The sequence below is a fragment of the Homo sapiens genome, chromosome 13 (genome assembly GCF_000001405.40).
Source record: "Homo sapiens chromosome 13, GRCh38.p14 Primary Assembly".
Classification (NCBI taxonomy): Eukaryota; Metazoa; Chordata; class Mammalia; order Primates; family Hominidae; genus Homo; species Homo sapiens.
Window position 1 is genome coordinate 94,174,077 of NC_000013.11, and position 13,576 is coordinate 94,187,652.

At 36.9% G+C, this 13,576-nt stretch overlaps 1 protein-coding gene and 1 long non-coding RNA gene across 5 annotated transcripts in view; one reads left to right on the forward strand and one right to left on the reverse strand.

The window, feature by feature from the left end:
* GPC6 (glypican 6) overlaps positions 1-13,576 on the forward strand; it is a 1,191,492-nt gene that overhangs the window by 957,548 nt on the left and 220,368 nt on the right. The window lies entirely within an intron of this gene.
* The window catches only part of GPC6-AS1 (GPC6 antisense RNA 1), a 33,799-nt gene that overhangs the window by 19,884 nt on the left and 339 nt on the right, over positions 1-13,576 (reverse strand). Inside the window, exons 2-3 of the long non-coding RNA NR_046535.1 lie at positions 13,148-13,297; positions 12,830-13,042 (exon numbers count right to left, since the gene is read on the reverse strand). This is a non-coding gene — a long non-coding RNA (GPC6 antisense RNA 1). The remainder of the gene's footprint in view (positions 1-12,829; positions 13,043-13,147; positions 13,298-13,576) is intronic.

Genomic DNA, 13,576 nt, shown 5'->3' on the forward strand with positions numbered 1-13,576 from the left:
AAGTGACAAAAATGAATAAATCATGTACTACTGTAGGTTGGCAGGCAGGGCACAAGATTACTAAATTTTGCACCATGAAAAAGAGAAAGCTAGAAAGAAATCAATCTTTGGCAAAGCTTGAGTAATCCATCCAATGCAATTCAAATGCATGGGTTAGTGAACCTCTGTGCAAGAGTTCTTATAACCTAGTTAGGTTTAATTAGGACACAGGGACAACCAAAAGGGGAAAAAATAAGAATGTTGAACAGCAGCCAAGTGAATTTTAGAATAATGAAGAAATATCAAATAGGGTAAATCAATGGAGTTAGAGGACACAATGGGGAAATGAAAAACATTCAAAGATAAATTAATGTAGGCCCAAGGGTTATGCAAGCAATTTACTATAAATATACTAGGGAAAAGAGACAGATGTAGGTGAACAAGGAAGCACAAAATTGGTAATACATTGTTATAAGTAAGAAATGGCATAAAACAAATGGTGTGGCAAAGCAGAAGGTCAGTGAACAAGAAAGAAAAGCATGTAAGAAAAAAATACAGACATTCTTTTGTAGATGACATGCTATTTAGCAAAAGTTTGTGCTATCTCATCAAGCACTATAATGTCCTTGTAAATGTCATGTAAAGTAAATTTGGCCAGGCTTATTTACAGTTATGAAAACTGAGCCTCAACTTCTTCCAAAGTCACGGAAAACAGCAGGTTTTTACCTTTCAACCATATATGGAGAGTTTCAGCCAATATGCCCATTTTAGAGCCAGAAAATTCATGATTCCATTAATTTTTTAATTTACCTATAAAAAAGTAAAGTGCACTAATCTCATGTGTGCAGCTCAATTGACTTTTATGTATGAGTACAGGTTCCTGTAGCTATCTCTGAGATCAAGATACAGAGCATCTCCAGGATCCCTGAAGTTTGCCTTGTGTCTTTCTTGGTGTGTATCTCCCAAATATCACCACTCTTCAGATTTCTAACACCATCAATTTTGCCTGTTCTGGAACTTCTTATAAATGAAATTATACAGTATGTACATTTTTCTGTCTGGCTTCTTTCACTCAACATCATATCCATGAGATTCATCTCATGTTCTTGCCTGTACCAGCAGTCTATTATTAGTCATTGCCTCTATTGCAGGACTGGCAAACTTTTTCCATAAAGGGTCAGGTGGTAAATATGTTAGGCTTTGTGGATAATATGCTCTCTGTTGCAACTACACAATTCTGCCTTTGTAGCACAATAGCAGCCATCCACAATGTGTCAATGATTGAGTATAGCAGCTCTGTTCCAACAAATGTTACTTACTAGGATTTAGTCTTTGGACCATACTTTGCCAATTCCTACTCTATGGTGTTCGTTGTAGGAATACATTACTATTTATCCATTTTCTTGTTGAGGAACATTTGGAGTGTTTTAGTCATTTGCTAAAAAGACTGGGTCATGGAATTTGTATTATGGTATTACCAGGTCATGGAATTGGTATTCTGATTGGGTTTAATAAATACTGTCAAACAGCTTTCCAAAGTGGTTGAACCAATTTATACTCCCAGCAATGGAGTATGAGAGTCTAGATGTACTGCTTCTTTGCTAATATTTAGTATAGCTGGTCTTTTTAATTTTAATTATTCTGCATCTGTCTAAAGGATTCTCTGTATGGTTTTAATTTATATTTCCTTGATAAGCATGATATTGAGCATCTTTCATATATATAAGCATATATACATATATTTAAAGTTATATATATCTTTTATATAAATATATACATGTGTATATATAAAAGTATATGTACATATTTATATAAAAGATGTTTATACTTTATTTATATACATATATATATATTTTCCCAAAAGGGAGTATCCAAATGAGCCATATATATATATATATATAGAGAGAGAGAGAGAGAGAGAGAGAGAGAGAGAGAGAGCGAGCTTGTCCAATGGAGAATTTTTTAATTCACCACTTTTAAATGAGCTATTCATTTTATTATTGATTTGCAGAGGTTCTTTATATATCCTGGAAATAAGCTCCTTATATATATTGCACGTATCTCCTCCCAGTTAATATTTCATTCCTAAGACAAGATAAGCAATTAATCTCATAATTTTTTTTCAATAAGACCCTTTCATTTCATCATTGAAATCAGCACTGAGTGGGTTGTAGCATTAACTAGGACATAAGAAAAACATCTCAGAAGTCCAGGAGCCTGTGGAAAGATCAGTACATTCGAAGACGTGGAATAGGATCCCTTCTCTCCTGAGACTATGGTGATCTTTTATACCTCTAAAGGGAGGCAGAGCATCAGGTTCTCGAAGGAACAGTAACCTTCAGGGAGGAAGGTGAAAGGAACTCATAGACATAGCAGAACCGATATTTGGAACTACATCCCCAAAGCAAAGCCTTTCCTAACTCATTCACCATTCCAACTTCCCTGTGCTAAGCATGGAGGGAAACGAGTGACCTTGATATTGTTATTTATAATCTTCTTTTCAAAAAGAAGCCAATACACATGAACCTCGTTTTTAAATGCCTGGCAGATACCCTGGAACAAGCCAAGAATGTTGTTCAGAATTCTATGTTCTGTGCTACACATTCTCTCTTTAGCTATGTATTCTCCTTCTATTAAGTTATTGCAACATAAAGGTGATTTATTAAGATGAGAAGCAGACATTGCTAAAACAGGAAGAAAAGCAAAAAAGAAATAAATGTTTCCTCAGAACCCACAAAGGAGAACAGATGTCAGCAGAAGCAGATGTATGCTTCTCCGGGGTGAAAGAAAGAATCCTTAATGCAATCAGAATCCCTGTAACATAAGTAACCAAGAAAGTAGAACATCGAAAACTTCACAGAACTTCCGCATGTGATGTTATGCATCCATAAGTACTACCCTAAGCGCACAAACTACCAATGACAAATGCTTTAAAACTATTTTTAAAAGACAGAAAAATGAGAATAAACTTGCAAATATAAGGTTATATGTATCCTCTTTTTAGAATTAGAAACCCATTCAGAAGATTTGCCTTGAGGAAGAAGTTATCAATTCTGTATCCTATTTAACTCAATCAGCTAAATAGCTAATGTCTGCTCTTGACCCACATGTGACAGGATGAATGTTTAATTTCTTCCCAAATTTCAACATGTAAGAGAACACGATGTAAATTTTTTAGGTAAACATCATGAGAAAAGTGACTGAATGAAATAACCAAAGTGTTTTCTTCTAAACCACAATGTCAGGATATCAACATTTAAAAAATGTAAAACTTCTATGTGTCAACCACCAAGATAAAGATACTGGGAAAATATTTGCAGCAAATATGACTTTTAAAAGCATGATACGTTAATTATATAAAAAGCTCCTACATATTGATTTTTCACAATGAGCCCTTTAACAGACAAGTTTTCAACAGTCTTGAACTAACAATTTAGGAAAAAAGTAAAGAGAGTTAGCAAACATCAAAGTAATGTTAAACTTACTAAAAAAAAACAAGATATATCAATTGTCACCAATCAAATTAGCAAATAGTTTTGAAATAAATAATAGGCATGGTGATGCCTGATAAAGATGAAATATGCACAAGCAATTTCATATGTTTGGACTATACATCATATAAGGCCTTCGGGAAGCATTAAGAATATTAATAATATTTATATGTTTTAACATAGCATTTTTAGTTATTTCAATATAATCTCCAGAAATAATCATATAAGTTGACAGTATTTTTAAATAGGTCATAATTTCCAATGACAAAACTAATAATAAACCACATGACCAAGTATAAAGACAACTTAATCATTGTCATCTTCCTCTGAATACATATTTGTCCTTAATTTTAAAAAAATACTTTTTATATTCTATCTGTCCAAATTTTCATGTTTTTTTCTTCCAAATCTCTGTCTTTTGGTCTGTTAGTTAGAAATTCTTTAAAAGCATGTATCATTCTTTTTCAGTGGCCTTTTAATTTTTTTTTTTGAGATGGAGTCTCAGTCTGTCGCCCAGGCTGGAGTGCAGTGGTGCGATCTCAACTCACTGCAACCTCCGCCTCCTGGGTTCAAGCGATTCTCCTGCCTCAGCCTCCCAAGTAGCTACCATGCCCTGCTAATTTTTGTATTTTTGTAGAAATGGGGTTTCACTATGTTGGCCAGGTTGCTCTTGAACTCCTGACTTTGTGATCTGCCCACCTTGGCCTCCCAAAGTGCTGGGATTACAGGCATGAGCCATCGCACCCGGCTGGTCTTTAAATATTTTATCTTGTCCTCCTATCTCTCATTATCATTCAACTATAGAGGCATAATAATATAAAGTATGGCAAATCCATTCAATGAGAAGTGGCTATATAAATTGTATGCAAACCATAAAAAATGATTATGTGTAATATTAAACAGTGATTTCAACAATATCATTAAATGCCTATGCATAGAAGAAGAAGCTAAAAGGAAATACACTAGACTACACCCAATTATTGTGTTTCACTCATGGGACAGTGGGTTTTGTTTTTCTTTCTTCCTTTGAATATTCAAAACTTTTCACATTTCCTTTAATAGGATGTACTTTCTCCAGAATGAAAATGCAAATCATTAAAGTAATTGCTCTCTTCTTCAAAAGATCACTTTACTCACAACCCTCTTTTAAGATTTTTTTTAAGAGTTTCTAGTTTCCTTCCCAACAACTCTGATCAGCAGTTCTCAGAGTCCCACTGTTTACATTCATTCTCTTGTTGTATTGCAGCCAAGCAAATATTTGGTCTGTGCAGCCAGCAGAAAGGTGAGAGCAGATGAGATGATGAATCTAAACGGTTGGATGTTATGAGTCCTCCTGCCTTGTTAGGAGGTACAGGCACCCAGTACATCAGCTAAGCACTTTTCAAGTAGCAAACACTTGGCTGGAGCTCAGCCCTCCTTCTGCTTATTTGCTACTGAGTTCCCCCTTTCTTGATCTTGAAGCCTGTTACAAGATACACGCGGTCTAGATTTTTATCTCATTCCTGTTTCAGGCTTTGAATCTGGCTCAGATCGTCTCGTTTCTGTGGAAACCCCATGGTTGGTAGGCACAAATGACCTTGTCCTGATCATGTATTCATCATCTCCAGTATCCTCACCCTCCTGCATATCTTTGTTCTTGAAGTGAGAAGTAGGTTTTAAAGCCAACCAAGGTTCTACTATTGACATCCTTCTAAGATGCATCTTCTTCAGGTGTCAAATGACGCTGCATTTGTCTGTACACCATCTCCTCAGAAATCTCTTATGTCTTATTGGCATTTACTTTGAGATAGAGAGGGTGGATGGAAAGGTGAAATCTAAAAGGGCATGAGCTTACCCATGATCAAATAGCTCCTAGGTAGCAGGAATAAAAATGTACCCAGTTTCCTGACTCAGGGGTTCCTGATTGCCTGCTTTATGTTTTTTTCAATGATTCTCCATCACTGTTTGTATACGTGTAATTTTTAAAAATTTGTTTAACTTAGTTCATGTTTTTCTAGGAGATGCTAGTCTCTGATAGATCTCCAAAAGTTAAAAAAAAATAAAAGTGATACATACTCTAATTCCTACCTATTCATTGAAAATAAATGGAAAGTGAATTTAACTGCTGTTCACAAGCTTTTTGACAGGCTTTCTCTAAAAGTGACTATTTCTGTAGTTAGCTGAGAAAGCACAACAGGAGGAAAATTTTGCTTTTGATTACAACTCTTTCCTGGGAGGTAATACCACTATGAAATTCTCTTTTTTTCTATGTATTTTTCTTACCTTCTAACCAGGTCACTACTTTTGGGGTAATAATGTGTCTGCAGGAAAATGGAAAATGTGAGCAGAAGGTGAAATTATTTCACTCAATAGATATTTACAGGAACCTATCATGTTGCTATTCGTATTCAAAGAAAAAAATGCCTGATCCCAAGGTGCTTACCATCCTAATAGGAAGGCATGTAAACTCAATAGTGAGATGAGTGAGCAGGTACCATTGTGTGCAGGATTTGGTAGAGGCACAGGGGGAGGAGGATGTGGACATACCTACAGGATGGGACTCCCTACCCGAAGGCTGGAAAGGGAGTAGAGAGGGTACAAGGTAGGAGATAACACTGCAGAGGCCTCATTGAAAAGAGTATTATTAGAAAGATAAGGGAGAACCACGGAGGGCTTTACACAGACACATCCTATGACCGTGACATTGGAAGTAGTTCTTAGTTCCTGGGTTCATCTGATGCTAAACTGTACGTGAACACTAACTCCTTAAGACATACGTTCTTTGGTTTGAGGCCTTACCACATGTTTGGATCATGCTCTTCTGAATTGATAAACAGGCTGTTTAGTGGTATCCATTTATATTTGATACTCTGCTTCAAATATGGCAATTTGATCAACTGAATGCAGTCTTTGAAGCCACAATAAATGTATTTTTTTGCTTAAGTAGATAATGAAAATAGCAAGAGAAATCGATGAATGAAACCACCATTTGGAGGCATCCTTGTTGCATTAAAATGTAAGATGTTTGGAATGAGCTACATGCAGAGGGAGTGACGGTTCACTAAAGAGATAATGTGATAAGTGGCCTTCTTCTCCCTTAGCAATCAATGTTTATTTGTCCTTAGCAATTTTCTTTATTTTCTACTGGGCATACATTTCTCCTTCAAAATAAAATAATCTACTGGAAATGAAATTGATCAATAGGCAAGTCAGAGGATTTTTTTCAAAAATCTACAGATTAATAGGGACAAGTCATTAAGGTGGAATAGATATCCTTATTGTAAATGTATGTATCATCTAAATTCAAGGTAACAGGTTTCCTGTGCATACGTGTGTATAAGAGAGACACACACAGAGAGAGAGAGAGAGAGAGGGAGAGAGACTGAAACAAGGAGGCTTTAATGTATTACAGCAATGGTTCTCAATTTATCAAGCATCAGAAGCAGCAATTGGGCTTGCTAAAGCACAAATTGCTGGACCCATCCCCAGAAATTTTACTTCAGTAGGTCTGGAACAAAACCTGCAGTTTGGCATTAGTTGATCCAGGAACCACATTTTGATATCCACTCTACCAGAGAGCTCTGGACTCATCAATCGTATTTCCCCCTTATACCAGGTAGCCATGATGCTCTTACTAGCATGCAGGGGTGGAGACCTAAAACATCAATGGTTAAATTCATCATTCTTTGTACACCCCTCCCCTTTTGAAATCCCTAATAAAAACTTGCTGGTTTTGTGGCTCAGGGTCGCCATCACTGTCCTACCAATATTTGATGACACCCCTGGAGGCCCAGCTGTAAAATTTCTCTCTTTGTACTCTTTCTCTTTATTTCTCAGACCGGCTGACACTTAGGGGAAATAGAAAAGAACCTGCGTTGAAATATTGGGGGCTGGTTCCCCCGATATAGTTGGATGTAATATTTCTTATTAATTTGTGGAGATTTTATTTATTTTTCATAAAGAATCAAATATTTAGAGCTAACAAGGATTTAAAACAGTATCTGACTTAATCTATTGTCTATGGAAGAAGACAGTCAGGCCCCAACAATTTAATTCACTTTATTAAGGTCCTGTAGATACTTACTGGTGATGCCAGGAGCAAAATGTGTCTATCTCTGAACTCCCTGACCACACAATCTTTGCACTTTGCCACCTGGCTTTTGCAACTTTTAATTTCAGAGTCATTAATAAATGTGTTAGTTATTATACAACTTAGGGTGCCTCATATTAGTGAGACAATTGTTTAAATGCATCTGCCACATTTTTGACATGGTTATAAAGGCAAATTAGCTACCACTACCTGTTATTTATTGAGCACTCACTAAGTGCCTGGTGCTATACTTCACATCCATTAGTCCTGGTTAATCTTTAACTGGCTCTGAGGAACAGGTCACATAGTTCTTACTTTTCTGATGAAGAAACTGAGACTCAGAGAGGTTGCATGGCTTAGTCCAATTCATGCAGCTAGGAAGTGACATTAGGAGGGCAAGCATAAGTTGGGAGATAGCTGAGCCACGCAATGTAGACCCAGTAGTTGGCCCCTCCTCTCCCAAATGAGAATTGACAAAGGTATATGCCTTGGTTGTGTGGTAACAAGGCAGGCCCTTAGGCCAAAAATAACCAGGCAGATTCCACTTGCTGAAACAGGGATACAGTGGAGTAACTTAGGTCTCAGATTTTTTTTTTTTTAAAGATAAATGCTCAAGTCACTGAAATCAGGTTACAAAATCAGAAACTGATTTGCAGAAAGGCTGATATGATGATTAATGATCTGAGTCTGACCTAAGAGCTGGACTGTTTTCCTGGGGCAGGTCAGAGCATCAGGTAGAGGTCAGGTGATTCCAGGTGTTGGGACTATAGGATGGCTGCAGGAACATGGACTTTGTTCCTGAGTTTTGCTAGGTATGGAGCTGAACTTTTGTGCTTCTGTAAGGAGAACACTTTATGTTTCTGTTTTAAAACTGTAGATAATTGCACCATGATGTGTTTTCTGAGCAGGGAAGTTGGGTGAACATTATGACTTGGCTTTCTCACAATTGGGAGTAGTAGTAGGCCACTGCTGTGTAATGTTTTTTTTCCTAAACCTTGAAGAAAAGTGGAAGTAAAAAGAGGAAGTTTAGAAAATGAATAAACTATCTTGCCAGCAGATAAAGTCCAAAATGATCACAGGTTGTCCACACACAATTTTTATTATTTACTTTTTTAATTGTGGCAAATATATTTAATAATATTTTCCATTTTAACCATTTTATTTATGTATGTATATTTTTGAGACAGGGTCTCACTCTGTCACCCAGGCTCCGTCAGTGGCACAAACAGGGTTCACTACAGCCTGAACCCCTCAGGTTCAAGTGATCCTCCCACCTCAGCCTCCCAAGTAGCTGGGACTACAGGTGTGTGCCACCATGCTCAGCTATTTTTATTTTATTTTTTGTAGAGACAAGGTCTCACTGTGTTGCCCAGGCTGGTCTCAAACTCCTGGGCTCACACAATCCTTCTGCCTCAGCTTCCCAAAGTACTGAGATTATAGGCGTGAGCCACTGCACCCAGCCTTCACCATTTTTAAATGCACAATGCAATAGGATTAATTATATTCATAATTTCGTGCAACCATTACCTCTATCTGTTCCAAAATGTTTCATTGACCAAAACAGAAACTCTGTAACCATTAAGCAATAATTCGCCTTTCTTACTTACCCCCAACCCCTGGTAATCTCTATTCTATTTTCTGTCTCTGAATTTGCCTATTCTGAGTACCCCATATAAGTGGAATCATGCAATATTTGTCCTTTTGTGTCATGCTTCTTTCACTTAGCAAAATGTTCTCAAGGTCTATCCATGTCATAGAATGTATCAGAACTTCATTCCTTTTTAGAGCTGTATAATTTTTCATTGTATGTATTTAATATATACCACATTTTGTTTATTAATTCATCTGTTCATGAAGCCTGGAGCTGTTTCTACCTTTTAGCTATTGAGAATAATGGTACTGTGAACATTGGTATACAAGTATCTGGCTGAGTCCCTGCTTTCAATGCTCTGGGGTACATACCTAGGAGTGAAATTGCTGGGTCATATGGTAATTTTATGTTTAACTTTTCATGAAACCACCAAACAGTTTTCCACAGTGACTGTATCATCATACACTCCCACCAGAAATCTACGAGGGTTTCAATTTCTCCACACCCTTGCCAACAGTAATTGTTTCTTAGGATTCTTCCCTGCATTATAGCCATTCTAGCAGGTCCACACATGCTGTCTTCAGCATGCTAAGTTGAAGACACCAAAGCATATGTCTAGTGTCTTAGTTGGTATTTGGGGAGATTATTTTTACTCAAACCAGGGAGAAGGGGAGAACAAGGGTTGAAGAATGTGGTTCATAGACCACTGTAACAAAATAAGAAACCCAGAAATAAAGCAACACACTTACAACTCTCTGAACATCGACAAGGCTGACAAAAACAAGCAATGGAGAAAGGACTCCCTATTAAATAAATGGTGCTGTGATAGTTGGCTAGCCATATGCAGAAGAATGAAACGGTTTCATTCTGCATATGGCTGGCCAACAACCTTTACCTTTCACCATATACAGAAATGAACCCAAGATGGATTAAAGATTTAAGTGTAAGACCTCAAACTCTAAAAATCGTAGAAGAAAACCTAGGAAATATCCTTCTCAACATCAACCTTAGCTAAGAATTTTTGGCTAAATCTCCCAAAGCAATTGCAACAGAAACAAAAATTGACAAGGGGGACCTAATTAAACCATAGAGCTTTTGCACAGCAAAAAACAAAGAAAAAAAAAACCTACTAGAGTAAATAGACAACCTACAGAATGGGAGAAAATATTCTCAAACTATGCATCCAACAAAGGTCTAACATCCAGAATCTAGAAGGAGCTTAAACAAATCAATAAGCAAAAAACAAATAACCCCATTAAAAAAATGGACAAAGGACATAACAGATACTTCTCAAAAGAAGACGTACACACAACCAACAAACTTATGAAAAAATGCTCATCATCACTAATCATCAGAGAAATGCAGATCAAAACCACAATGAGATAGCATCTCACACCAGTCAGGAATGGCCATTATTAAAAAGCCAAAAAACAACAGATGCCGATTGGGCTGCAGAGAAAAGGAAGCACTTATACACTGTCGGTGGGAATGTAAATTGTTTCCGCCTTTGTGGAAAGCAGTTTGGAGTTTTCCCAAAAAAATTTAAAACAGAACTACCATTTGACCCAGCAATTCAATTACTGGGTATACATGCCAAGTGAAATAGATCATTGTATCAAAAAAATGCATACACTCATATGTCCATTGCTGCACTATTCATAATAGCAAATACATAGAATCAACCTACGTGCTCATCAGTGATGGACTGGATAAAGAAGGTGTGGTACATATATACCATGAAATATTATGCAACCATAAAAAAGAATGAAATCATGTCCTTTGCAGCAACACAGATGGAGGTGGAGGACATAATCCAAATGAATTAACACAGGAAGAGAAAACCAAATGCCGTATGTTCTCACTTATATGTGGGAGGTAAACATTGAGCACCCATGGACATAAACCTGGGAACAGTAAACACTGTGAACTAGCAGAGTGGGGAAGGAGGAAAGGGGATAGGGTCAAAAAACTACCTATTGGATACTATGCTTACTACCTGGGTGCGGTATACCCATGTGACAAACTTGCACATGGACTCCAAAATAAAAGTTGAAAAAAAAAAAAAAAAAGAAGCCATTGGCCATCTACAAAATCAACCAACCATAAAATAACATTCTGGATTACCTGCTGTGGGGCTCAAAGTCCTTTAGGTATCATCCTTTCATTTCACACATTAGGGTTATCACCATAGTGTAGTGGAAAGTCTACAAACTTTTCAATCAGGTAACTTTATGACATAGACAACGTGTACATAGACACATTATTTTATGTTTGTGTCATCTTGAAATTCATATATTATATATATGAATATATATTACTAAATATTGGTTTTCTCATTTATATAGCCATTGGGGATAATAGAACAATTTACCTCATTGAAAAACATTTTCAATATAGGAATAAAAAGATACCATCAATGTAAAAAAAAGAATATGGTCATTAGATGCAGTCTATGAGGAGGTCTTCTATCACACTGAGAATCTCTTGTGTTTGGAAACATAACTTGGTCATCTTGGCATCCCCAGCGTGGAGCTCAGTGCTGAAGATGAAGTATTCAACTGTGAGAGATTGAAAGTTGAAGAGTTTATTTAAAAAAAGGTTTTTAGCACTTCAGGAGGCTGAGGTGGGCGGATCACGAGGTCAGGAGATCAAGACCATCCTGGCTAACACGGTGAAACCCTGTCTCTACTAAAAATACAAAAAATTAGCCGGGCTTGGTGGCAGGCCCCTGTAGTCCCAGCTACCCAGGAGGCTGAGGCAGGAGAATGGCATGAACCCGGGAGGCGGAGCTTACAGTGAGCCGAGATCGCACCACTGCACTCCAGCCTAGGTGACAGAGCGAGACTCCGTCTCCAAAAAAAAAAAAAAAAAAAAGGTTTTCTTACTGAGAAATTATTTTAAGATATATGTTCACATAGACCTTTCCAGAAGAAAACTGAAAAGAGGTAAAGGGTAGTCTAACTCACAAATATAAATAGAGAAACACAATGCATATTTACTCAGCAATCTTTTAATATGAGGTCATATTATTGGAATAGGAGTTTACCAGTTGGATTTCGGCATGATTTTTCTTGCACAAAACACAAAGCAGTAACTATAATTTCTGCCTTTAGCTTTTGAAAAACTAAAAGAACTTAAAGATGCTTGCAAGCCAACAAGAGCAGAGTCCCATTTTCCTCCTTCTTTAAATTTCGTATCATTGTCTTACCTTTACCAAGATTTTTCAACCATTCTACTTCACCCAGTCTTTCCAAAGTACTTAATTTTTTTTCTAAATTGATATTTAATGGGTTGCTCAATTTTACAAATAACATAAGAAGGTTTAGGGTCACCGCAACAGATTCTTTGAAACCATAAAATTCAACCCTTGGCTACGATGTTGGTGGGGGATTAAAGAGTAGCCTACCAGCCTCAAGTGGTCAAAATGACATGGACATTCTCACAGGCACTTTAAAGAAAAAAATGACGAGTTGGCTATATTTATGCATGCAGAATTATTTTTATAGAGTTCTATCTTGATTAAAACATAATTTAGTAGATTAAATATGCTATCTTCTTTGAGCAAGCTTTGGAAGACCAAGCTACTAGTAGAATTATACCAGAGTTAGGATACTGCCCTCTGCATACACTCAAATAGCAGGCCAGAATCCCAATAGAAAATGAGCATGCTTAGCTATGTTTCTGTAGTATGGAACTTACGAAGGTTCGATTCTTGATTTCTCATATGAATCAGAGCTCTCTCTCTCCTTTCCAGTGTGACCCAGTTGTATTTTGCATAGGCAGATGGTTTGAAGGAAAATTCCAGATTATTAGCATTTGCACTGGAGCTTGACAATCACCTTTATGAACCTGCTCTTGGAATAGCAGCCTTGGAAGATCCTGGAGTCAATCTCCTTTTATTTCAGATGAAAACTGATGACAGGGAAAGAGCCCAGGAAGAAAGTTTTTATTCTTGGTGCCTTGGGCAACGTGTGTATCCTCCCTCAAAAGAAGGCTTGGAGCAAAATGAACACTTACAGGAAACTGAGGCTCGTATGTTTTATGCAGTGAATCACCGGCATAATTGGAATTCTAACCTCGAAATTTTATTTCCAAATTTGACTGGCTCCACTCCTTATACATCAAATTGATCAAAGCAGAAATTACAGATTCAAATTTATGGTAAAGCTAAGAAAAAGAAAGCAGAACGATGAGTCAGAAGGTAAGAGGCCACGTAACCCAATATTTTTTTAGCATAAAGCATTCACGAATTTTACTGGCACCTCAACTAAAATGATGTTCTTTTAAAATCGTGTCACTTGATTATAAACATCTTGTTTTAAAAATGGAACATATAATCCAACATCCCCCAAATTTCTAGACTAATTCAAACATAAGAGTTGATCTTAATATGGATTTAGGTATTCAACAAATACTTATAGAGTGTCCACTATCGGGCAAACATTG